General features: G+C 39.5%; 1 protein-coding gene across 12 annotated transcripts in view; it reads left to right on the forward strand.

Annotated features, from left to right (window-relative positions):
* The window catches only part of ATF7IP2 (activating transcription factor 7 interacting protein 2), a 97,578-nt gene that overhangs the window by 14,986 nt on the left and 54,622 nt on the right, over window positions 1–27,970 (forward strand). For 6 of the 12 annotated variants that reach the window (NR_045815.3, NR_045816.3, NM_024997.5 and 3 more), the window contains one exon: window positions 27,822–27,970. The gene's annotated coding sequence lies outside the window, so the exon portion shown is untranslated. Of the gene's footprint in view, window positions 1–10,196; window positions 13,567–13,799 lie in introns of those variants that run through there. The other 6 variants (NR_147927.2, NM_001352120.2, NM_001256160.3 and 3 more) reach the window with 4 other exon arrangements.

The following is a 27,970-nucleotide window of genomic DNA, read 5'->3' on the forward strand; positions in this document are numbered from 1 at the left end:
CATATATTGAGATCATATGGTTTTTGTTCTTAGCTGTGATAAATCACATTTATTGATTTGCGTGTGTAGAACCATCCTTGCATCCTTGGTATAAAACCCGCTTGATTATGGTTTATTTTTATTTATTTATTTATTTTTGAGATGGAGTTTTGTTCTTGTTGCCCAAGCTGCAGTGCAGTGGTGTGATCTCGGCTCACTGCAACCTCCACCTCCCAGGTTCAAGCGATTCTCCTGCCCCAGCATCCCGAGTACCTGGGATTACAGGTGCGTACCACCATGCCTGGCTCATTTTTTTGTATTTTTAGTAAAGACAGGGTTTCACCATGTTGGCCAGGCTGGTCTCGAACTCCTGACCTTGTGATCCGCCCACCTCGGCCTCCCACAGTGCTGGGATTACAGGCGTGAGCCACTGTGCTTGGCCTGTTATCTTTTTTATGTGCTGTTAGATTCAGTTTGCTAGTATGTTGTTTAGGATTATTTCATTTATGTTTATCAGGGATATTGGTCTGTAGTTTCTTTTTTTGCTGTGTCCTTGCTTGGTTTTGATATCAAAGTGATACTATCTTCATAGAATGTGTTAGGAAGAATTCCCTCCTTTTTTTTCCCTCTTTTTTTTGAATAGTTTCAAGAGGATTGGTATTAGTTCAGCTTTGTATGGTAGAATTCAGCTGTGAATCCATCTGGTTATGGGCTTTTTTGTTGTTGGGAGTCTTTTTTTTTTTTTTAATTGATTCAGTCTCACTAATTATTCATCTATTCAGGATTTCTGTTTCTTCTTGGTTAAGGCTTAGGAGGTTGTATGTTTCCAGTAATTTATCCATTTCCCATAGGGTTTCCTGTTTGTCAGTATATAGTTGTTCATAATAGTCTCTGTTGTTGTTTTGTATTTCTGTGGTATCAGCTGTAAGGTGTCCTTCTTAATTTCTGATTTTGTTTATTTGGACCTTACCTCTTCTTGGTTGGTGTAGGTAGTAGTTTTCCAATTTTGTTTAAATTTTCAAAGAACCAACTTTTTGTTTTATTGATACTTCTTTTTGGTCTCTATTTCATTTAGTTCTGCTGTGACCTTTATTTCTTCTGCTAATTTTTGGCTTGATTATTTTTCTAGTCTCTTGAGGTACAATGTAAGATTTTTAATTTTTGAACTGTTTTTTTGATGGAGACGTTGAATGCCATAAACTTCTCTCTAAGCACTGCCTTTGCTATATCCCAGAAGTTTTAGTATGTCGTTTTTCTATTTTCATTTGTCTCAAATGTTCTTAATACCCATATTCATTTTTACAATGACTCAGTGATAGTTCAGAAGCATGTTGAATTTCCATATATTTTTATAGTTCTGAAGATTCTCTTTGCATTGATTTCTAGTTTTATTCTGCTGTGGTCTGAGAAGATACTTGATATGATTTTGATTTTTCCTTTGGTTTGTTTCGTTTTGAGACAAGGTCTTACTCTGTCACCCAGGCTGGAGTGCATTGGCATGATTTTTTACTTACTGCAGCCTTAACCTCCTGGGCTCAAGCGATTCTTCCACCTCAGCCTCCCAACTAGCTGGGACTACAAGCATGTGCCACCATGCTTGGCTAATTTTTATACTTTTTTGTAGAAACAGGGTTTCACCATGTTGCCAGACTGGTTTCAAACTCCTGAGCTCAAGTGATCCTCCCACCTCAGCCTCCCAAAGTGTTGGGATTACAGGCATGCGTGACTATGTCTGGCCTGATTTTGGTTTTTTAAAAATTTGTTCACAGCCAGGTACAGTGGCTCCCTCTGTAGTCCCAGCATTTTGGGAGGCTGAGGCAGCAGGTTTGCTTGAGGTGAGGAGTTCAAGACCAGCCTCAACGACACAGCGAGACCCTTTCTCAAAAAAAAAAAAAAATGTTGAGTCTTGTTTTGTGGTCTAATGGTCTGACTTGGAGAATGTTCCATGTGCTAATGAGAAAAATGTATACTCTGTTCTATGAATGAATGTTATGTTCATTTGGTTTAAAGTTCAATTTCAGTCCAATATTTGATTTTTCTGTTTCCATCTGTCTAGTGATGTTTCTGTGGAGATTAGTGATTTTCCATGTTAATGGATGTCAGATATAAATCCTGCTAACACTGCAGCTGGCTCTTAACTGTAAGTGCCACCTATTGGCCTGGAGGTCAGCCCACATAGCTTATTACAATATGTGACACATATGCACCAGGCTCAGGAGTGTGAGGTGAGTTCTCATGACTTCATGTTACCAGAATTGTCCATACCATGCTGGCTACTCAAGAGGTTGTGAACCTGCTCACCTACCTGGCACACTACTACTACGACTGGCATTTGAGAAAACCACCACACTAAGGCTTTTTAGAACCAAGGAAATAATAGAGTTTTCACCACTGAACTCATCCAGAAGCAAAGTCACAACCTCAAGAAAAAAAACTCCTGTCCTAGTGAAAATAAATTTAATAATAGCAAGAAGCAGATGTGTCTCTGGATGTGCAGAAATAAGCATAAAGTTACAGGAAGCATGAAAAAGTAAGGTATTATAACACCCCCTCAAAGGAACATAGGAATTCCTTAGCAACAGATTCTAACCAAAAATGATAATTGAAATGCTGAAGAGCTCAAAATGTTTTTAAAGAAACTTAATGAAATGCAAGGGAAATCTGAAAACCCATACAAAGAAGTCAGAAAATTAATTTAGGATATGAATGAGAAATTTACCAAGGAAATAGATATCTTTTCGTAAAACCAAACAGAACTTTATGGCAATGAAAAATTCATTGAAGAAATTTTGGAATGCATTTGAAAGCCTCAAGTATAGATCAGCCAAGGCAGAAGAAATAATCTTTTAAATTAACCTAGTGAGACAAAAATAATATATAAGACTGAAGAAGGCCTTTGAAACATACGAGACTACATAAAGCCGCAGAACTAATGAATTAACAGTATTTCCAAAGGGAAAGAAAAAGCAAATATTTAGGGAACCTTTTTCAGGAAATAATTAATGAAAACCTCCCTAGTCTAGCAAAAGATTCAGACATCTTAGATACAGGAAGCCTAATGATTCCTAGGAAAATATGTTGCAACATGGATTTAATGCTAGCTATATAGTCATCAAACTGTCTCAAGTCAAGGTGAAGGAAAGAATTTTAAAATCAGCAAGAGAAAAGTGTCTAATCACCTATAAAAGAAACTTCATTAGATGAATAGTGTACTTGTCAACAATAATCTTTTGTTTTTCCTTTTTGAGACAGAGTCTCACTCTGTCACCCAGGCTGGATTGAAGTGGTGCGATCTCTGCTCACTGCACCTTCCGCCTCCCAGGTTCAAGCGATTCTCCTGCCTCAGCCTCCCGAGTAGCTGGGATTACAGGTGTGTGCCCCCAGACTCTGCTGATTTTTAGTAGATACTGGGTTTCACCATGTTGGCCCGGCCGGTCTTGAACTCCTGACTTTATAAATGATCCACCCACCTTGGCCTCCCAAAGTGCTGGGATTATAGGCGTGAGCCACTCTGCCCAGCCTTTTTTTTATTTTTTGAGACAGAATCTCACTGTGTTGCCCAGGATAGTATGCAGTGGCACGATCATGGCTTACTGCAACCTCCACCTCCAGGTTTAAGCAGTTCTCATGCCACTGCCTCCAGCTGGGACTACAAGCATGTGCCACCATGCCCAGATAATTTTTTTGTATTTTTAGTAGTGACAGGATTTCCCCATGTTGGCCAGGCTCCTGGCCTCGAACTCCTGGACTCAAGTAAACCGCCCACTTTGGCCTCCCAAGGTGCTGGTATTACAGGCATGAACCAGTGGGCCCAACCAGAAGTAACCTTACAAGTCAGAATGGGATGGAATGGGATGGGATGGGATTGTCAAAGTGCTGAAAGAAAAAAAACCAGTGAACCAGGAATTTTATATCCAACTAGATTAAGCTTCATAAATGAAGGAGAAATAGTTTTTCTTATAGAAGCAAATGGTGAGGGAATTCATCACCAGTAAGTAGACCCTCCCTATAATAAATCCTCAGATCCTAAACATCTTAATGAAAGGTCAATATTTGGCTGGGTGCCGTGGCTCATGCCTGTAATCTCGGCACTTTGGGAGGCTGAGATGGATGGATTGCCTGAGGTCAGGAGTTCAAGACCAGCCTGGCCAACATGGTGAAACCCGGTCTCTACTAAAAAAAAAAAATACAAAAAATTAGCCGAGTCTGGTGGCAGGTGCCAGTTATCTAGCTACTCAGGAGACTGAGGCAGGAGAATTGCTTGAACCCAGGAGGCGGAGGTTGCAGTGAGCCGAGATCATACCACATTGTACTCCAGCCTGAGCAACAACAGCAAAACTCCATCTCAAAAAAAAAAAGTTAATATTCATTATCGTGAAGACACCTGGAAGGGGCAGAGCAAGGTGGCTGAATGGAAACTGTTAGTCCAAGCTGCATTGTTTTGTAAGCCCCCCACCATTTTGCAGACCTTGGTCAGAGTGAAACATTCCACAGGGGCTTGGGCCGTGAGAAACATCCTGCCTAACCACCTGACTACAGAAACATTCTTATCACATCCTGCTGGACAAAGGCCCAAGGAACATTCTTATCACATCCTGCCGGACAAAAAGGCCAAACCACCTGACCACAGGAATATCTTCATCAACGTCCTCCCAGGCAGCAAGCCATACCACCTAGATCCCTCCTGCCCAGACCTACAATTACCCCAGCCTGTAAGTGGCAGTGGGTCCTGGCACTAAGTTGGTCCCCCTGTGTAGGTTTGTACTGACAATAAACCTGTGTTGCTGTTGAGCTGCCAACTCTGTCCTTAACCCTTGACTTTCCTTCAAAACCTAACAGAAGCTTTCACTTGAAGTCAGGAGTTCATAACCAGCCTGACCAACATGGTAAAACCCCATCTCTACTAAAAACAAACTAGCTGGGTGTGGTGGCACGTGCCTGTAATCCCAGCTACTCAGGAGGCTGAAGCAGGAGAATTGCTTGAACCCAGGAGGTGGAGGTTGCAGTGAGCTGAGATCGTGCCACTGCACTCCAGCCTGGGCGACAGAGTGAGAATCTGTCTCAAAAAAAAAAAAGAAAAGCTTCAAATAATTTTTTTCATAGAATATTTTACTCTGTCACTCAGGCTGGAGTGCAGTGGTGCAATCACGGCTCACCACAGCCTCGACCTCCACAGGATCAAGCAATCCTGCCATCTCAGCCTCTCGAGTAGCTGGGACTACAGGTGTGCACCACCACCCTTAACTAATTTTTTATATTTTGTAGAGATGGGGTTTTGCCACGTTGCTTGGGCTGGTCTTGATCTCCTGGGCTCAAGCTGTCCACTTGCCTCAGCCTTCCAAAGTGCTGGGATTACAGGCGTGAACCACTGTGCCCAGCCAACCTAAAATAATTAACCTAATGATGCATCTTAAAGAACTAGAAAAGCAAGAGCAAAGCAAACACAAAAGTAGTAGAAGAAAAGAAGTAATAAAGATCATTGCAGAAGAAACAAAAGATCAATGAAATGAAAAGTTAGTTTTTTTAAATATAAAGCAAACATTTATGCAGACTATGAAAAAGAACACCTCAGAAATTCGAAGCATCCTTTGTGGCTACTATGAGCAACTTTGTAGGCCAATAAATTGGAAAATCTAGAGGAAATGGATCCATTCCTAGGCACATACAACCTACAAAGATTGAACCATTAAGAAATCAAAAACCTGAACAGACCAGTAAAAAGTAATGACATAAAAGCCGTAATAAAACATTGCCCAGCAAAGAAAAGCCTGTGCCCTAATTGCTTCACTGCTGAATTCTACTGAACATTTAAAGAAGTAATACCAATCCTACTGAAATCATTTTGAAAAATAGATGAGGAGGTAATACTTCCAAACTCATTCCATGAGGTTACCCAATACCAAAACCAAACAGACACATAAAAATAAATAAAATTACAGACCAATATGAGTATTGATGTAAAAATCAGCAAAATGGTAGAAAACTGAATTTAACAGTGCATGAAGAAGATTATTAATCATGACTAAGTAGGATTTCACCTGGCTTCAACATGTGCTAGCTATCAATGTGATACATTATATCAACAAAATGAAGGACAAAAATATGGTCATTTCATTTGATGCTGAAAATGCATTTGATAACATTCAACTTCCCTACATGATAAAAACCCTCAAGAAACTGGGTATAGAAGGAATGTATCTCAACGTAATAAAAGCCGTATATGACAGACCACAGTTAGTATCATCCTGAATGGGGAAAATCTACAAAAGAACTACAAACCTTTGGTTTAAGATCTGGAACACAACAAGGCTGCCCGTTTTCACCACAGTTACTGAACATAGTACTATAAGTCCTAGCTAGGCGAATCAGAGGAGAAATAAGGGGCATGCAAATTGGGAAGGAAGAAGTCAAATTGTCCTTATTTACAGATGATAAGATCTTATATTTGGAAAATCCTAAACAATACACCAAAACTAGTAATACTGATAAATTGAGTATAGTTGCAGTATACAAAATCACCGTACAAAATTCAGTACCATTTCTATATGCTAACAGTGAATGATATGTAAAGGAAATCAAAATAGTCTCATTTATAATATTGACAAATAAGATTATTTTTAAAATTTTTTATTTCTGTAGGTTATTCAGGAACAGGTGTTACTCGGTTACATAAGTTCTTTAGTGGTGATTTGTGAGATTTTGGTGCACCCATCACCCGAGCACTATACACTGAACCCAATTTGTGGTCTTTTATCCCTCATCACCCTTTCCCCTGAGTCCCCATAGTTCATTGTATCATTCTTAGGCCTTTACATTCTCATAGCTTAGCTCCTACTTGTGAGTGAGAACATGCAATGTTTGGTTTTCTACTCTTGAGTTACTTCTTTCTTTCTTTTTTTTTTTTTTAGACGGAGTCTCGCTCTCTCACCAGGCTGGAGTGCAGTGGCATGATCTTGGTTCACTGCAACCTCTGCCTCCTGGGTTCAAGCGATTCTCCAGCCTCAGCCTCCCAAGTAGTTGGGACTACAGGCATGTGCCACCATACCTAGCTAATTTTTGTATTTTTAGTAGAGGTGGGGTTTCACAATGTTGGCCAGGATGATCTTGATTTCCTGACCTCGCGATCCACCTGCCTTGGCCTCCCAAAGTGCTGGGATTGCAGATGTGAGCCACCATGCCCAGCTTATATCACAATTTCTTTATGCACTCGTTGATTAATGGGCATTTGGGCTGGTTCCATATTTCTGCAATTGTGAATTGTGCTGCTATAAATAAGCCTTTGCAAATGTCTTTTTTGTATAATGACTACTTTTCCTCTAGGTGGATACCCAATAGTGGGATTGCCGGGTCAAATGGTAGTTCTACTTTTAGTTCTTTAAGGAGTCGCCACACTGTTTTCCATGATGGTTGTGCTAGTTTACATTCCCACCAGCAGCATAGAAGTGTTCCATTTACACCACATCCACACCAACATCTATTATTTTTTGACTTTTTGATTATGGCCATTGCAGGAGTAAGGTGGTATTGCACTGTGGTTTTGATTTGCATTTCCCTGATCATTAGTGGTGATGAGCATTTTTTCATATGTTTGTTGGCCATTGGTATATCTTCTTTTGAGAATTGCCTGTTCATTTCGTTAGCCCACTTTTTGATGGGATTATTTGTTTTTTTTCTTGCTAATTTGTTTGAGTGCCTTGTAGACTCTAGATATTAGTCATTTGTTGGATGTATAGGTTATAAAGATTTTCTCCCACTCTGTGGGTTATCTGCTTACTCTGCTGACTCTTCCTTTTTCTGTGCAGAAGCTCTTTAGTTTAATTAAGTCCTGCCTATTCATCTTTGTTTTTGTTGCATTTGCTTTTGGGTTTTTGGTCATGAAATCCTTGCCTAAGTCAATGTCTATGTTGGAGATAAATGCTCGGTTCGCAAAGTGAAACCAGCACTCGGGCAAAAGTTTTCCCAGCAAGGCAATTTACTTCTGCAGAAGGGTGCTGCTCATGTCATTCACGATCACAAGAGCACACTGAACAAAGGAGAGAAAGGGTTATTCCTAATGTGGCCCCTACATCTGTGTCAATCTCCCATGGGCGGGGGGTAGGCGGGTCAGACTGCACATTCTAAGTTGACCTGATTGGCTATTTGTGGATATTTTCCCAAATAAGGAAGGGAAGGGGGATGTGAGTTACAGTGGTGGGACGTGTGGTTTCGAAGGGTGGAATGGGTGCAGAGTTAGCAACCAAGGGAACAGATGTGAGTTATTGATTAGAACTGATAGGAAGGTTGTTTACACTAATTAGGGGCAAGGAGGCATGGAGAACAAGAAAGTTGAGTTTGAGAACAAAGAATAAGGAAGTTAACAAGCTAAACCTTTGAAGAGGAATTTATTATATCTTATATGTAGAAGGGTTTTTCTGATGTTATCTTCTAGAATTTTTATAGTTTCAGGTCTTAGATTTAAATCCTTGATCCATTTTTTTTTTATTGAGACTTTTTTTTTAATGAGCCATTCTCTTGCCTCAGCCTCCTAAGTAGCTGAGACTACAGGCCCCTGCAACCACGCCCAGCTAATTTTTTGAATTTTAATAGAGACAGGGTTTCACGGCGTTAGCCAGGACGATCTCGATCTCCTGACCTCATGATCCGCCCGCCTGGGCCTCCCAAAGTGCTGGGATTACAGGCGTGAGCCACCATGCCCAGCCTCCTTGATCCATCTTGAGTTGATTTTTGTCTAAGGTGAGAGATGAGGATCCAGTTTCATTCTCCTACATGTGGCTTGCCAGTTATCCCAACACCATGTGTTGAATAGAGTGCCCTTTCCCCACTTTATGTTTTTGTTTGCTTTGTCAAAGCTCAGTTGACTGTAAGTATTTGATTTTCTCAGTTCTGTATCCTGTTCCATTGGTCTTTGTGCCTATTTTTATACCAGTAGCATGCTGTTTTGGTGACTATGGCCTTATAATGTAGTTTGAAGTCAGGTAATGTGATGCCTCCAGATATGTTCTTTTTGCTTAGTCTTGCTTTGGTTATACAGGCTCTTTTTTGGTTCCATATGAATTTAGGATTCTTTTTTCTAGTTTTGTGAAGAAGATGGTGGTATTTTGATGGGAATTGCATTGAATTTGTAGATTGCTCTTGGCAGTGTGGTCATTTTCACAGTATTGTCTCTACCCATCCGTGAGCACGGGATGTGTTTTCATTTGTTTGTATCATCTGTGATTTCTATCAGCAGTGTTTTGTAGTTTTCCTTGTAGAGGTCTTTTGACTCCTTGGTTAGGTATATTCCTAAGTTTTGTTTTGTTTTGTTTTGTTTTGTTTTGTTTTGTTTTGTTTTGTTTTTGTTTTTGTTTTGTTTTGTTTTCCCCCAGCTATTGTAAAAGTTGTTGAGTTCTGGACGTTTCTCAGCTTGGTTGCTGCTGGTGTATAGGAGAGCTACTGATTTGTGTATAGTAACTTTGTATCCAGAAACTTTGCTGAATTCTTTTGTTAGTTTGGGAGCTTTTTGGAGGACTCTTTAGGGTTTTCTAGGTATACAGTCACATCATCAGCACACAGTGACAGTTTGACTTCCTCTTTATCGATTTGGATGCCCTTTATTTCTTTCTCTTTTCTGATTGCTCTGGCTAGGAAGAGAAGTGGTAAGAGTGGGCATCCTTGTCTTGTTTCACTTCTCAGAGGAACTGAGGCCACTGCGCCTGGCCTATGTTGGCAATTCTTTAATTGCCATGTCAATCTCAGTATGTTATTGGTCTTTCAGGATATCTGCTTCTTCCTGATTTAAATGTTTTCAACTTTTCCCCATTTAGTATTATGTTGGCTGTGGATTTGTCATAGATGGCTTTTATTACATTGAGGTATGTCCTTTGTATGCCAATTTTGCTGAACGTTTTAATCATAAAGGGATGCTGGATTTTGTTGAATCCTTTTTCTGTGTTTATTTAGAGATAATTGTATAATTTTTGTTTTTAATTCTTGTTATGTGGTGTATCACATTTATTGAATTGCATATGTGAAACCACCCCTGTATTTCTGGTATGAAACCCACTTGATCATGGTGGGTTATCTTTTTGATATGTTGTTGGTTCAGTTAGCTAGTATTTTGTTAAGGACTTTTGCATCTAAGTTCATCAGGGATGTTGGTCTGTAGTTTCCTGTTTTGATTATGTCCTTTGCTGGTTTTTGTATTAGGGTGATACTGGCTTCATAGAATGATTTAGGGAGGATTCCCTCTTTCTCTATCTTTTGGAATAGAGTCAGGATTGGTACCAATTTTTCTTTGAATGCCTGGTACGATTCAGCTGTGAGTCTGTCTGGTACTGGGCCTTTTTGTTTTTTTTTTTTTGGTGTTTTGTTGTTGTTGTTGTTGTTGTTTTGTTTTGTTTTGTTTTTTTGAGACAGAGTCTGGCTGTGTCACCCAGGCTGAAGTGTAGTGGCACAGTCTTGGCTCAAGCAGTTCTCCTGTCTCAGCCTCCAGAGTAGCTGGGATTACAGGCGTGTGCCACCATTCCTGGCTGATTTTGTATTTTTAGTAGAGATGTGGTTTCACCATGTTGGCCAGGCTGGTTTGAACTCCTGACCTCTGGTGATCCACCCACCTTGGTCTCTCAAAGTGCTGGGATTACAGGTGTGAGCCACTGCGCCTGGCCTATGTTGGCAATTTTTTAATTGCCATGTCAATCTCACTGTATGTTATTGGTCTTTCAGGGTATCTACTTCTTCCTGATTTAAGCTAGGAGGGTTATATCTTTCTGGGAATTTATCCATCTCCTCTAGGTTTTCTAGTTTATATGCATAAAGGTGTTGAATTAGCCTTGAATGATCTTTTATATTTCTGTGGTGTCAGTTGTATTATCTCCCATTTTGTTTCTAGTTGAGCTTATTTGTTTTTTTTTTTTTCCTCAGCTTTTCTTGGTTAATCTTGCTAATGGTCTATTAATTTTATTAACCTTTTCAAAGACCCAGCTTTTTGTTTCATTTATCTTTTTTTGTTTTTTTTTTTTTTTTTTTTTTTTTTTTTACACTTTTAAGTTCTAGGGTACATGTGCACAAGGTACAGGTTTGTTACATAGGTATACATGTGACATGTTGGTTTGCTGCACCCATTAACTCATCTCATTTATCTTTTGTATTTTTTTTTTTGTTTCAATTTCATTTAGCTCTGCTCTGATCTTAGTTATATTCTTTCTTGTGCTGTGTTTGGGTTTGGTTTGTTCTTGTTTCTGTATTTCCTTGAGGTGTGACCTTAGATTGTCTGTTTGTGCTCTTTCAGACTTTTTGATTTAGGCATTTAGGGCTATGAACTTTCCTCCTAGCCCCGCCTTTGCTATATCCCAGAAGTTTTATAGGTTGTATCTCTATTGTCATTCAGTTTGAAGAACTTTTTAATTTCCATCTTGATTTCATTGTTGACCCAGTGATCATTCAGGAGCAGGTTATTTAATTTCTATGTGTTTGCATGGTTTTGAAGTTTCCTTTTGGAGTTGATTTCCAGTTTTTTTCCACTATGGTCTGAGAGAGTGCTTGATATAATTTCAATTTTATTAAATTTATTGAGGCTTGTTTTGTAGCCTATGATATGATCTACCTTGGAGAAAGTTCCATGTGTAATGAATAGAATGTATATTCTGCAGTTGTTGGGTAGAATGTTCTGTAAATATCTGTTGAGTCCATTTGTTTCAGGGTATAGTTTAAATCCATTATTTCTTTGTTGACTTTCTGTCTTAATGACCTGCCTAGTGCTGTCAGTGGAGTTGAAGTCCCCCACTATTATTGTGTTGCTGTCTATCTCATTTCTTAAGTTTTATCAGTTTGGGAACTCCAGTGTTAGGTACTTATATATTTAGGATTGTGATATTTTTCTGTTGGATAATGCTTTTTATCATTATATAATGTCCCTCTTTGTCTTTTTTAAGTGCTGTTGCTTTAAAGTTTGTTTTATCTGATATAAGAATAGCTACTCCTGCTTGCTTTTGATATTCATTTGCATAGAATGTCTTTTTCCACCCCTTTACCTTAAGCTTATGTGAGCCCTTATGTGTTAGGTGAGTCTCTTCAAGGCAGGAGATAGTTGGTTTGTGAATTCGTATCCATTCTGCAAATTCATGTCTTTTAAGTGGAGCATTTAGGCCATTTACATTTAATGTTAATGATATGGTTTGGCTGTGTCCGTACTCAAATCTCAACTTGCATTGTATCTCCCAGAATTTCTATGTGTTGTGGGAGGGACCCAGGGGGAGGTAATTGAAACATGGGGACCAGTCTTTCTCATGCTATTCTCGTGATAGTGAATAAGTCTCATGAGATTTGATGGGTTTATCAGGGGTTTCCGCTTTTGCTGCTTCCTCATTTTTCTCTTGCCACTGCCATGTCAGAAGTGCATTTTGCCTCCCGCCATGGTTCTGAGACATCCCCAGCCATGTGGAACTGTAAGTCCAATTAAACCTCTTTTTCTTCCCAATCTCAGGTATGTCTTTATCACCAGCATGAAAATGGACTAATACAGTTAGTGTTTAGTTGTGAGGTACTATTCTGTTCATCATGCTGTTTGTTGCCTTTATACCTTGGTTTTTTGTTTGTTTGTTTATTGTATTTTTGCTTTATAGGTCCTATGAGATTTATGCTTTAAAGAGGTTCTGTTTTGATGTGTTTCCGAGATTTGTTTCAAGATTTAGAGCTCCTTATAGCAGTTTTTACAGTGTTAGCTTGGTAGTGATGAATTCACTCATCATTTGTTTGTCTGAAAAAGACTGTATGTTTCCTTAATTTATGAAGCTTAGTTTCACTGGATACAAAACTCTTAGCTGATAATTGTTTTGTTAAGCAGGCTGAAGATAGGGCCCCAAATCCTTCAAGCTAGGAGGGTTTGCCGAGAAATCTGCTGTTTATGTGATAGGTTTTCCTTTATAGATTACCTGATGCTTTTGCCTTACAGCTCATAAGATAGGTTTTCCTTTATAGATTACCTGGTGCTTTTGCCTTGTAGCTGATAAGATTCTTTCCTTCATCTTAACTTTAGATAATCTGATGCCAGTGTGCCTAGGTGATGCTCTTTTTGCAGTGAATTTCCCAGGTGTTCTTTGAGCTTACTGTATTTGGATATCTAGGTTTTTAACAAGGCCCGGGAAGTTTTCCTTGACTATTCTCCCAAATACGTTTTCTAAACTTTTCGCTTTCTCTTCTTCCTCAGGAATGCTGATTATTCTTAGGTTTGGTTGTTTAACATAATCTCAGACTTCTTGGAGGCTTTGTTCATATTTTCTTATTCTTTTTTCTTTGTCTTTGTTGGATTAATTAAAAAGCCTTGTCAAGCTCTAAAGTTCTCTTCTGCTTGGTCAGTTTTGTTGCTGAGACTTTCTAGAGCATTTTGCATTTCTATAAATGTGTCCATTATTTCCTGAAGTTTTGATTGTTTTTTATTTATGCTATCTATTTCACTGAAGATTTCTCCCCTTATTTCTTGTATGATTTTTTTGATTTCCTTAAATTAGGCTTCACCTTTCTCTGGTGCCTCCTTGATTAGCTTAATAACTGACCGTCTGAATTCTTTTTCAGGTAAATCAGGGATTTCTTCTTGGTTTGGATCCACTGCTGGTGAGCTAGTGTGATTGTGTGTGTGTGTGTGTGTGTGTGTGTGTGTGTGTTTGGGCGGGGGGGTGGGGGATGTTAAGGAACCTTGTTTTGTCATATTACCAGAGTTGGTTTTCTGGTTCCTTCCCATTTGGGTAGGCTCTGTCAGAGGAAAGGTTTAGGGATCAAGACTGTTGTTCAGATTCTTTTGTCCCACGGGATGTTCCCTTGATGCAGTACTCTTCCCCTTTTCCTAGGAATGTGGCTTTCTGAGAGCTGAGCTGTAGTGATTGTTATCTCTCTTTAAAATTAAATACCTAGTAACTAACCGAAGATGTGAAAGATACCTACAATGAAGACTGTAAAACACTGATGAAAGAAATTGAAGAGGACACAAAAAAATTAAAAGATACTTCATGTTTGTGGATTAGAAAAATCGATATTGTTAAAATGTTCATACTGCTTAAAGCAGTCTGCAGATTCAGTGCAGTCCCTATCAAAGCATCGATGACATTCTTCACAGAAATAGAGAAAACAATCCTAAAATTAATATGGAACCACAGAAGACTGAGAATAGCCAACACTATTCTGAACAAAAGGAAGAAAACTGAAGGAATCACATTACCTTACTTGAAGTTATACTGCAGAGCTATAGTAACTAAAACAGCATGGTACTAGCATAAAAACAGACCAAACAGTAGAACAGAATAGATATCCCGGAAACAAATCCATATACCTACAGCGGGTGAACTCATGTTTGACAAAGATGTCAAGAACAAACATTTGCGAGAAGACAGTCTCTTCAATAAATGGTGCTGGGAAAACTGGCTATTCACATACAGAAGAATGAAATTAGATCTGTTATCTCTCACTATATATAAAAAGGCAAAATGGATTGCTTAAATCTAAGACCCCAAACTATGAAACTGCTAGAAGAAATCATTGGGGAAACTCTCTAGGACATTGTTCTGGGCAAAAGAATTTTCATAAGCCTTGGTAATCAAATGAAAAATGGACAAATTGGATCACTTCAAGTTAAGCTTCTGCACAGCAAAGGAAACAATCTACAAAGTAAAGAGACAAGGCACAGAATGGGAGAAAATATTTGTAAACTACATGTTTGACATGGCATTAATAACCAGAATATAAGAAGCTCATACGACTCTGTAGGAAAGAATCTAATAATCCAATTATACAATGGTAATACCTGAATAGACATTTCTCAAAAGGAGAGATACAAATGGAAAACAGGCATGTGAATAGCTACCTAATGTCATTGATCATCAACAAAATGCAAATCAAAGCTACAGTGAGATATCACACCTCATTTAAAATAGCTCTTATTCAAAAGACAGGTAATATGAAATGCAGGTGAGGATGTGTAGAAAGGGAATCCTTGTACATTGTTGGTGGGGATGTAAATTTGTACAACCAGTATGGAGACCAGTTTGGAGGTTCCTTAAAAAACTAAAAATAGAGCTACCATGCAATCCAGCGATCCAGGTGCTGAATATATACCCAAATGAAAGGAAATCAGTATATCAAAGGGATATCTGCAATTCCATGTTTGTTGCAGCACTGTTCACAATAGCCAAGATTTGGAAGCAACCTAAGTGCTCATCAGCAGATAAATGGATAAAGAAAATGTGGTACATATACACAATAGAATACTATTCAGCCATGCAAAAGAATGAGATCTGTCATTTGCAACAATGTGGATGGCTCTAGAGGTCATTATCTTCAGTGAAATAAGCCAGGCACAGAAAGGCACACTTATGTTCTCACTTATTTGTGGGAGCTAAAAATTAAAACATTTGAATTTGTGGTGAGAATAGAAGGATGGTTACCATAGGCTGGGAAAGGTATTTTGTGTTGGGGAAGAAGGTGGGGGTGGTTAATGGGTATAAAAAGTAGTTAGAATGGGCCAGGCACAGTGGCTTACACCTGTAATCCTAGCACTTTGGGAGGCCGAGGCAGGTGGATCACCTGAGGCCAGGAGTTCAAGACCAGCCTGGCCAACATGGCGAAACTGCCTCTCTACTAAAAAACACAAAAGTTAGCCTGGTGTGGTAGTGATGGGCACCTGTAATCCCTGCTACTCAGGAGGCAGAGGCAGCAGAATCACATGAACCCAGTAGGCGGAGGTTGCATTGAGCCAAGATCACACCACTGCACTCCAGCCTGGGCAACAGAGCAAGACTCTGTCTCAAAAAAAAGTAGTTAGAATGAATTAAGACCTAGTTAACCTAGTATTTAATTGCACAACTGGGTGACTATAGTCATCAATAATTTAGTTATACATTTAAAAATAACTAAGACTATAATTGGATTGTTTGTAACACAAAGGATAAATGCTTCAGGGGATAGATACCCCATTTACCAATGTGATTATTATGCATTGCATTTCTGTATCAAATTATCTTATGTACGCACAGAAGTTACAAATTAAAACTGGAAATGAAACCTCATGAAAGTATAAGAATCAGAGGTCATATAAAACAATCACATAAAGGAAGAGAAAGGAATCAAATGGCAACACAGTGTAATTCCATTATACCACAAAGACGAGGAAAACAAGGAAAGAATTTATACAACAACTAGGTAATAATCGATAATGTGACAGGATCAAAACCTCTCATATTAATATTAACATGGAACCTGAATGGATGAAATGCTCCACTGAAAAGAGAGGTTGATGGAATGGATTTTCAAAACCCATCAACCACGTATATGCTGCTTACCAGAAATGTGTCTTACATGGTAAGACACATTTAGACTCAAGTTGAAGGGGTAGAAAAAGATATTCTGTGCAATGGAAACCAAAATTGAGCAGGAGCAGCTAGACATATCTCACATACAATTAGCTTTAAATCAAAAGCAGTAAAGAAAGACAAACATGATCATTATTTAATGATAAAGGGATCAATTCAACAAGAGGATATAACAATCCTAAATATGCATGCACTGAACACTGGGCCACCCAGATTCATTAAATATTACTATAGTTAAAGAAAGAGATAGATAGCTGAACAATAATGGTAGGGAACAACACCACACTCATACTAGACAGAAATTGATAATCTGGTCCTAAAATTTATATGGAAATTCAAGGGACCCACAATAGCCAAAACAGTCTTCTCCAAGAATAACAAAGTTGGAGGACTTAACACATCCTGAATTCCAAACTTCTCACAAATGACAGTAATCAAGATAATGTGGTACAGACCTATACACAAATGGAATAGAATCGTGAACCCAGAAATACACCTTCTCATTTAAAGTCAATTTGTTTTTTATGAGGGTGTCATAAAAAAGGTAAGTAATGGTGTTTTAAAATTGTGCTGGAACAATTGGATGTCCACGTCGGTCGTGGAGACCCTAACCCAGTGGCACTAGAGGAATTAAAGACACACACACAGAAATATAGAGTGCGGAGTGGGAATCAGGGGGCTGACAGCCTTCAAAGCTGAAAGCCACAAACAGAGTTTTACCCACATATTCATTGACAGCAAGCCAGTGGTAAGCATTGTTTCTATAGAGTATAGATTAACTAAAATGGGAAACAAAGGGATGGGCTCTGGCTAGTTATCTGCAGCAGGTATATGTCCTTAAGGCACAGACACTCATGCTATTGTTTGTGGTTCAGGAACGCCTTAAGCGGTTTTCCACCCCAGGTGGGCCAGGTGTTCCTTGCCCTCATTCTGGTAAACCAACAACCTTCAGCGTGGGCATCATAGCTATCACAAGCATGTCACACTGCTGCAGAGATTTTGTTTATGGCCAGTTTTGGGGCCTGTTGATGGCCAGATTTGGGGGCCTGTTCCCAACATGTCCCCCTTTTTTGTTTTTGCAAGACGATAGAAGCAAAGGCGGCTTTATCACGGTGAGCTACTTCTTGCAGGAGTCAGGATCCACATCTGCAGACTATACAAAGACAACACAGATTAAAAGTGCAATCATCATTGAAATCACAGAGCCTCCAAGTGTTTTTATCCATTTTAATGGGTTAATAGCTGCTAATCTGTCTGCAGCTCCTTCAAGCACTCCAGTTCCTGGCATTAAGGTCAGGTGTGCCTGGGATGCTTTAAATATTTGTTCTTTTAATTTTGCAATGTCCAACGACAAGTTTGTAGAGTGCCCTTCTAGATGCTTTTTTATTCTGTCCCAAATTTTGATCTTATTAAGAGCCGTTAATAGTTTCCACAAATCCTTATGTTTAGCTCCTAGAGCGGGCCATATCATTTGAGGTTGAGGTGCCACTATACTGCCGTGTTTCCAGATAATAGGAACTCTTGCCATACTTCTTACCATTTCTACCATCTGACCGTTTTGTTCAGACCAACTGAACATAGTGTGGCCATGGCACGCAGACTGAGAGGTACAATTTGTGCTAAACATCCCCTTAGGGGACCAATCAATAATGATTCCATGGGAATCGTTGCGCAGCACCTCTGCCTGTTCTGCAGTGCAATCTTCCCAAACAAGTACGTTCATTTTTTCGGGCCAGGTCCAATTCTGTTTACAAACAGGTTTTTGATGGCAGTATGCCTCAATTATAGGAGCAGATTTATTATGGTAAATAGTGAGACCAGAAAGCATGTGTAACTGTGTCATAGAATGATTACATCCAGGCATTATTGCCAGCCAAGATTGATAGTGAGGGGGTAGGCAACTGGTGACCTTTCCCAAACAGATAGGTGAATGTTCAAATCCTAAAGAAATATTCCTAACAGTTCCTTCCTCATGTGGGTGAGACGGGCCTCTATTATCTGTAGGACCGAGCATCCAAGAGCTATCATTAGTGTATACCTCCACTGGGGGGTCCAGCCAAGTTACAGGCCATAGAAGTGGTGGAAAAGGTAAATATACCCAATAAGTATAATTGTTCTCTGTGTCAGCCCTTGCTAAAGGAATACTCATGGCAATGGTGATCACTGCTATCATAGCTATCATTAAATTACTCATTGTGATTGGTTGTTCCGCTTTCCTCAGGTTTTCTTCCGCCGTCTGTGACAGCTTCTTGATCTGTCCCCAGGTAGGTGGCTGCATTCGACAGGTGTTGCTCGTGACAGTTGGGGTCCTCCTCAGTGTCAGTCTCAACATGGCTGCAACTGGTGTGTGTTTGGAATCCTCCCAAAACCTCTTCCGGAGTATCTGGCTCATAGTAAGGCTTTAGGTATCTCAGTGGCACCCAAATTGGCTGTTGATTCAGTCCTGGCAAAACACAAGCATAACCTCTACCCCAAATTATTATTTTACCTGTTTCCCAATTTTTGTTATTGCATCTCTCCACCAAACCAGTTGTTCTGCTTCTGCCTTTGCAGCTGGTTTCTGTAGATGCTGTTCAGCTGCTGATAGCATCTGGCCTTTAGGCAGGCTCAAAAAATGTAAAGTCAGTAATGCTAGATTCAGTTGCATATTCATGATGTCCTGTAGTCTCTGTTTCCCTCCTTTTGCTTTTGCAACGGCTGTTTCGGGGAGAGATTCATTCATTCCACAATGGGTTGTCCTTGAGAATTACATGGGATGCCAGTAATGTGTTTAATATTCCATACAGAGAAAAATGTAGCTAGAGCTTGGTTAGTATATATAGCCTGGGGCATTGTCCATTTTAATAGATGCTGGAATGCCCATCACCGCAAAATACTGCAAAAGATGATGTTTAACACAGGCAGAAGACTGTCCTGATTGGCATGTAGCCCAGACAAAATGAGAAAAGGTATCTACACATACATGAACATAAGCTAGTCTCCCAAACGAGGGAACATGGGTGACATCCATTTGCCAAAGAGAATTAGGTTCTAATCTGCGAGGATTAACTCCTCCTATAAAAGATGAGGAATGCACCATTTGGCAAGTTGGGCATCGCTGGATAATAGCTTTAGCTTCTTTCCAGGTAATGCTATACCTGCGTTTGAGACCAGAGGCATTAACATGGGTTAAATTGTGAAAGTGTCTGTCTTAGATACTGCAGTAGCAACTAGGTGATCAGCCATTTGATTCCCTGCAGTCCAAGGTCCTGGAAGAGGTGTGTGAGTCCTAATGTAAATGATGTAAAAGGGTGCATTCTACTCCTAACTGCTGTTTGCAATTGGGAAAATAATCAGTTGTTCATCTGTGTGAAATCGTAACTGAGCATTTTCAATTAATTGTGTGGAATGAACCACCTATGAAGAATCAGAAATCACATTAATAGGCATATCGAAGGCAGTCAATACCTCAATTACAGCTACAAGCTCTGCTTTTTGAGCTGAAGTATAGGGCATCTGAAATACTTTACCTTTCAAGCCAGAATAAGAAGCTTTACCATTACTAGACCCACCTGTGAAGACATTTTCAGCACCTTCAGTTGGTTAAAATTTAGTTATTTTAGGGAGAATCCAATTAGTTAATTTCAAAAATTGAAACAGTTTTGTTTTAGGAAAATGGTTATTGAGAATATCCACAAAGTCAGCTAAATGAGTTTGCCAAGTAAGACTATTTATAAAAGCTTGCTGTATTTGTGCCTTTGTGAGAGGGACAATTTTTCCAGGATCATATCCATGTAATTTAACAATCTGAGTTCTCTGATTTCCTATCACAGTAGCAATTTGATCTAAATAAGGAGTTAGAGTCCGTGAATTAGTATGTGGAAGAAAAGCCACTGTACAAGATCTTGCTCTTGAACAATAACACCAGTAGGTGAATCTGAGTTGAAAAAAATTAGAAATCTAGAGTCTTCTCTGGATCTTTTCTACTTATTTGAGCCTTATGCACTTGCTTCTCAATTAGCTGGAACTCTGCCTCCACCTCCTTTGTTAATTGCTGAGGGCTATTGCGACTAGGATCTCCTCTAAGGATAGAAAATAGATCACTCGTGGCATAGGTAGGAATGCCTACAGCAGGTTGTATCCAATTTATGTCCCCTAGTAATTTTTGAAAGTCACTTAATGTTTTCAATTGATCCCTACGTATGGTTGCTTTCTGTGGCACAATGGTAGTATCATTTACTAAGGTCCCCAAGTAGGAGTAAGGAGTAGTAGTCTGAATTTTGTCAGGAGCTATGATTAAACCAGCACAAGAAATCAAAATTTGCAAGTGATCATAAGATTGGAGTAATAATTCTCTAGTGGGGCAGCACAAAGTATATCATCCATATGATGAATAATGTAACACTGTGGACATTTTTTACGAGTAGATTCAATTGCTTGCCCTACATACGTCTGGCAAATTGTTGGACTGTTTAGCATGCCTTGTGGCAACACTTTCCAGTGAAAATGCTTAGCAGGCTGCAGGTTGTTTACCGCAGGAATTGTAAATACAAGCCATTCACAGTCTTGCTCAGCTAAGGGGTTAGTAAAGAAACAGTCTTTTAAATCTATGACTATTAAAGGCCAATTTTTCAGAATCATAGCAGGAGAAGGCAGTCCTGGCTGCAATGCCCCCATAGGTTGTATAACTGAATTAATGGCCCTTAAGTCAGTTAACATTATCCATTTACCTGATTTTGTCTTAATTACGAAAACTGGAGAATTCCAAGGGGAAAATGTTGGAGCTATGTGTCCTTTTTCTAATTGTTCAGTAACTAAGTCCTCTAAAGCCTCCAGTTTCTCTTTGCTCAGCAGCCATTGTTCTATCCAAATTGGCTTATCTGTTAACCATTTTAAAGGTATAGGTTCTGGAGGCTTAACAATGGCCACCATCAAAAATGATATCCTAAACCTTGGCGGGACTTTGTCTTTCCACTTGAAGCAGTTCCTTCAAACTTTGCAAATTTTTTCCTAGCCCCATACCAGGGACATACCCCGTTTCATGCATCATATGTTGACTTTGAGGGCTGTATAATTGCTCTGGAATTAGAACTTGTTCTCCTCATTGTTGTAATAAATCTCTCCCCCATAAATTTATAGGTATAGAAGTTACAATTGGTTGAATAGTCCCAGGTTGTCCCATCAGGCCCTTCACAATGCAAGATATAACTATTTTGATATACTTCAGGGGCTTTACGAACTTCAGCTATGTTAAATTGAGCAGGTTGAATTGGCCATGAGGACAGCCAGTGCTGTAGAGAAATGAATGAAATGTCTGTTCCTGTATCTACCAAACTTTTAAATTTCTTTCCCTGAACAGTTATTTCACAGATAGGACATTTATCAGTAATTTGATTCCCCCAATAAGCTGCTTTGCCTTGTTTATTTGTGCTTCCAAATCCTCCTGTTCGTTTAGTTTCACTTTTCCCCATTTCCACATATGGCACAATCAGGAGCTGCGCTATACACGCTCCTGGCTCTGCTTTCCAGGGAACAGAAGTAGATACTGCAATTTGAATTTCCCCATTGTAATCTGAATTAATGACTCCTGTATGTACTTGCATTCCTTTTAAATTTAAACTAGAGGCCAGGTGCAGTGGCTCACGCCTGTAATCCCAGCACTTTGGGAGGCCGAGGCAGGCAGATCACGAGGTCAGGAGATCAAGACCATCCTGGCTAACATGGTGGAACTTCGTCTCTACTAAAAATACAAAAAATTAGCCAGGCGTGGTGGCGGGCACCTGTAGTCCCATCTACTCAGGAGGCTGAGGCAGGAGAATGGCGTGAGCCTGGGAGGCGGAGCTGGCAGTGAGCCGAGACCACACCACTGCACTCCAGCCTGGGTGACAGAGTGAGACTCCATCAAATAAATAAATAAATAAATAAATTTATTTAAACTAGACCTACCTAGAAGTAATGCTGGCATCATCTGGCTGGAGACAGCAACATTCTTGAACAGTCCTGTTACAAAAGGAGAACCTGGTCTATAATGATTTATAGCTTGTTTACATTCTTTAAGTATTTTAAAAGGAAAAGGCTCAAACGTAGCTATGATATTTCCCTGTTGATATGGGTGGTGTATTCTGACAGGGAACTGCCAAGCCTCTATATCACCCTCTCGTCTAGCTTGCTGAATTCCTGCCTGAAAAGAACTGAGAGCGGTCGCTCAAGGCACTGCCCAAACAGTTACTGGGGCATCTACTTTTCACCCACTGTCCTCTGGAAAAAGATCTGGAGGGTCAGGCCACTCTTTTTCTTCAAAATAATGAGGGGGTGCAGAAGGGTAGGGACAAACCTCTCCCTCCTTTGCCACTTTAGCTTTAGCTGGCCGACAAACCTGCTCTGTTACCTCTTATGTTACTTCATTACACCCTCCTTCCTCCTCCTCATCAGTGTGAAAAGGTTCCAAGGTGGAACGAGCCAGAGCCCATACTTGTCCCATTGTTACCCTGATGCTTCCGAGCTCCCCTTCTTACCACAGGGATTGCTTAAGAGTACTCGGGTGTCCTCCAGCGTAGTTCCATGTTCTCCAGTCATTGTTCCGGCACACGCATAGAAATATAGAGTGTGGAGCAGGAATCGGGGCTGATAGCCTTCATAGCTGAGAGCCACGAAGAGTTTTACCCACATATTTATTGATAGCAAGCCAGTGATAAGCATTGTTTCTATAGATTATAGTTTAAATCGGGAAACAAAAGGATGGGCTCTGGCTAGTTATCTGCAGCAGGAACATGTCTTTAAGGCACAGATCACTCATGCTATTGTTTGCAGTTCTGGAATGCCTTAAGGGGTTTTCTGCCCTGGGTGGGCGAGGTGTTCCCTTGCCCTAATTCTGGTAAACCAACAACCTTCAGCGTGGGCATCATAGCCATCACGAGCCTGTCACACTGCTGCAGAGATTTTGTTTATGGCCAGTTTTGGGGTCTGTTTATGGCTAGATTTGGGGTCCTGTTCCCAACAGACCCCTATCTCTCACCATAAGCAAAACTTAACTGAAAATGGATCAAAAACCTAAATATAAGCACTTATAAAACTTTAAAATTCTTAGGACCTTGGATTAGGCTGTGATATACTTGCTAAAAACACACGTAAATGTGTTTTTAAATCTTTAGAAATTATGCTTTATGAAAATTTTACACTGTTTTCAAAGCATACCATCAAGGAATGGGAAAGACAATCCATATAATGCGAGGGAAAGTTTGTAAATTGTATCTTATAAGGGACTTAATCTAAAATATATAAGGAACTCTTACAAGCCAGTAATAAAAACGCAAATAACACAGTTTTTAAATTCTCAAAGAATCTGCATAGACATTTATCCAAAGAAGATGCACAAGCCTCCAAGAAGTACATGAAAAGATTCTCAACATCATTAGCCGTCAGGTAAATACAAATCAAAATGGCAATAAGGCACTACATCAGTTGAAACAGGATGACTATACTAAGACAAACAGATAAGAAGTGTTGGTGAAAAGATGTTAAAATTGGAACTCTCATCCACTGCTGGTGTGAATGTAAGTTGTTCCGGCCATTTTGGGAAACAGTCTGGTAGTTCCTCAGAAGGTTAAATCTAGAGTTACCACATGACCAAATAATTCTACTGCTAGGTATATAGAACAAAGAAACATGAAAACATTATGTCCACATAAAAACTTGTACATGAATGTTTATATCAGATTTTTTTTTTTTTTTTTTTTTGAGACAGAGTTTCACTCCTGTTGACCAGGCTAGCGTGCAATGGCTCAATCTCGGCTCACGGCACCCTCTGCCTCCCGGGTTCAAGCGATTATCCCACCTCAGCCTCCTGAGTAGCTGGGTTTACAGGTGCCTACCACCATGCCTGGCTAGTTTTTTTTTTTTTTTTGTACTTTTAGTAGAAACGGGGTTTCACCACGTTGGCCAGGCTGGTCTTGAACTCCTGACCTCAAGTGATCCACCCGCCTCAGCCTCCTAAACTGCTGGCATTACACAGGCGTGAGCCACTGTGCCCAGCTGGAAATCTTTAAAGGTATTCAATTCCATGCAATTGTGAAGCAGATTCAGATCTTAAAAAAAAAAATTAATGACACCTTAATATTAAATAATATAGAAGCAATAATGTAAATAATGTAAATTAAGGCTTTAATATGGCATGTATAACTAAATGGATTAAATTCTGTTGAAAGACAAATTCATTAGGTGAAAATATTTATGTATTACAGGAAACATAAATTGATACAAAAATGTTAAAAGTAGGCCGGGTGTGGTGGCTCACATCTGTAATCCCAGCACTTTGGGAGGCCGAGGTGGGCACATCACCTGAGGTTGGGAGTTTGAGACCAGCCTGACCAACACTGAGGAACCCCATCTCTATTAAAAATACAAAATTAGCCAGGCCTGGTGCCACACGCCTATAATCCCAGCTGTTCGTGAGGCTGAGGCAGGAGAATCACTTGAACCTGGGAGGCAGAGGTTGCGATGAGCTGAGATCATGCCATTGCACCCCAGCCTGGGCAACAAGAGTGAAACTCCATCTCAAAAAAAAAAAAAGTTAAAGGTAAAGGATGGACAACATTATATTCAGTGGGATTTACATCATCATAAAACATTAAAAGTACAGATTAGATAATTTTATTATTTCAAAATGAAGTTAACAGTGAGGATACAGCCAAGCAATTATGCATCTGAGGGAAAAATGAAAATAGGTCCTTTCCTCTTTCTATGTGCTAAAATAAATTCTAGATGGATTAAGGACTTAAATTATAAATGACTTGAGAAAATATAATTAAAACTTGAGAAAATGTAATTTCATCTTTTGCAGCATGTGTTACAGGACAGTATTACCATCTCAAAGATCTGTGAGTTGTGGCTTATGTGACAGCAAATAATTCAAATTGGCTAAAGAGAGGAGTTCTGGTGTTGGTAGGGATCCCCAATTAGTTTGGGTGGCTTTTTATTCTCAGCAATGAATTCAACTTCACTGAACGGGTTCTATGATAGGCAAACTATATAGTTAGAAATATTTAACTTACTTGCACCTTTTATCAGCAGTTTTACTTGTCTCCCCTAAGCATTCTCATGCAGACATTTTCCAGGTGAAATACCTCTCCTCAGAGCCGGAAGTTTAACCAGTTATGAAGTGTGTAATGTTAATGACCATTTAGTTCATGTTTTTCATGAAGTTTAACAAATTTACTCTGAGCTGGCACTCTGCATTCTTACTATATATTGTAATAATTGCACAGCCATGGTATAGCACCGTGTCCTTAAATAACTTACATCAGTGAAAGGCTTCTTTACCACCAGTAGGCTTCACTATTTCACACAACATGGAGTAGAGAAGGATGTCACAAGGAAGAGAGATCAAACTTTAACCATAAAAGAAAAAAAATTATTTAACTTGACTATATTAAAATTAGGAAGAGCCTAATAAGATACCTGTAACTCATATAACAAAGGATTGACAAGGAATATGTTTTTGGTTTTTGGTTTTTTTTTGTTGTTGTTTTTTTTTAAGACAGTGTCCCACTCTGTTGTCCAGGCTGAAGTACAGTGGTGTGATCTCGGCTCACTGCAACCTCCATCTCCCGGGTTCAAGCGATTCTCTTACCTTGTCCTCCCAAGTAGCCGGGAATACAGACGTGTGCCACCACACCCAGCAAATTTTTGTAGTTTTTAGTACAGACAGGGTTTCACCCTTTTGGCCAGGGTGGTCTCGAACTCCTGGCCTCAGGTGATCCGTTCGCCTCAGCCTTCCAGAGTGCTGGGATTACAGGCTTGAGCCACTGCACCTGGCCGGAATATGGTTTATAATATGTTAAGTATGCTTTGAAAATGAAAGAGGAAAGACACCCCAAGAAGTCATGAGCAGGAAATAACCAGGAATTTTTACAGACAAGTAAACATAGCTAATAAACATAGGAAAAGATGATAGTAATTAGGGAAACCCAAATTAAGACAATGAGAGCTAATTCTTTATCCAAGTAGATTGGCTAAAATCAAATCTGGCAATACCAAGGGTTCAAGAGGATGTGGCTCAGTGGTAACTCTTACGTATTGACTGTATGGATGCAAACTGGTAAAACTGCTCCAGGAAATAATTTGGTTTTCTTGAAAAGTTGAACATGGATACCTTTTCAGTATCTAGAAATTCACTCAGGAAATGCTTACACATAAGCCCCTTGAGACAGAAATAATCAGAATAGCATTGTTGTGTCAGAACATCAACAAGAACTGGAAATGTAATCCCAGCACTTTGGGAGGCTAAGGCATGAGGATCACTTCAGCCCAGGAGTTTCAGACTAGCGTGGGCAACATAGTAAGACCCAATATCCACAGAATTTTTTTTACAAATTAGCCAGTTGTGGTGGTGCATGCCTGTAATCCCAGCCTCTTAGGAGGCTGAGGTGGGAGGATAGCTTGAGCCTGGGAGGCTGAAGCTGCCATGAGCCATGCTGCACTCCAGCCTGGGTAACAGAGCAGCAAGACCCTGTCTCAAAAAAAAAAAAAAAGGAACTGGAGGTGACCCAAAGATCTTTCACAAATGATCAGATAAACAAATTTTGGTATATCTACCCAAAGAATTATTACAGTGCAAAGAAGAACACGAATTATTGCTATACGTAAGCACATGGATGAATTTTGTACATATACATAACTGAAAAAACAAGTATTAGCTATAGTTTGCTCAACAACAAAATTAAACAGTATATTTGTTTACATATGACATTTATGATGAAACTGTAGAAAAAGTAATAGAATTATAAACTAAGTTTAGGATACATCATCAGGATGGAGAAGAGGTGCAAGGGGCATAGTTTGGAGAAACATAAGTAAATGCAGGTTACTGATAGTATTCTACTTATTTGTTGCAGGTGTTTCAAAGATGTTCACTTTATTATACTTTGTAATTAACACATATTACAAGTCTTTTGTATGCATCAAATGTAGAGGCATTTTTTTACTCCAGAGCTTAAATTTCAGCACGTTTTACTAATTTGGGCCTTTTCCAAAGGCCCTTAGAAGGGCCATAGTAACAATATGTTCACGTGGTTGGATGTTTTCATCAGATTTACAATAGTAAGATATTTTAAGTATAGTCATTTAAGACCCCTGTCTCTCTTCACCTTGATTTCTTCTTTGTGTCAGCTGGCAGTAGAGTGGTTTCAGGCATTTTGTGATTGGGGGATTTATTTGTGTTTAGTGGGATGTGTTTGTGATTCAGAGTCATTTCTGGATGTAGGTAATTATAGCCTGTCAGCCTGATTGTGTTGGGAATGTGGTCTCTGGTGCCTGGCACCTGTAATATGTGAGTATTAGAGAAGCCAAAGTGCAAATTATGGAACCAGAAGGTAATCAGGAAAAAATTCCCAATTATCTGATGTTTAAAATTTTAAGTGTAGGATTTCGTTCTCATCAATTTCCAGTCAAAACAGCACTTTTCTCCTGTCAAAAATAACATAGCACATTCAATTATAAATTCACCATATATTTATTTTCTTTTTTTGATAGGAATCCTGCTTTTTTTTTTTCTTTGAGACACGGTCTCACTCTGTCACCCTTGCTGGAGTGCAGTGGTGCAATCACAGATCACGGCAGTGTCTAATTCCTGGGCTCAAGTGAACCTTTTGCATCAGCCTCCTGAATAGCTGAGACCACAG

The sequence above is a fragment of the Homo sapiens genome, chromosome 16, assembly GCF_000001405.40.
Source record: "Homo sapiens chromosome 16, GRCh38.p14 Primary Assembly".
Lineage (NCBI taxonomy): Eukaryota > Metazoa > Chordata > Mammalia > Primates > Hominidae > Homo > Homo sapiens.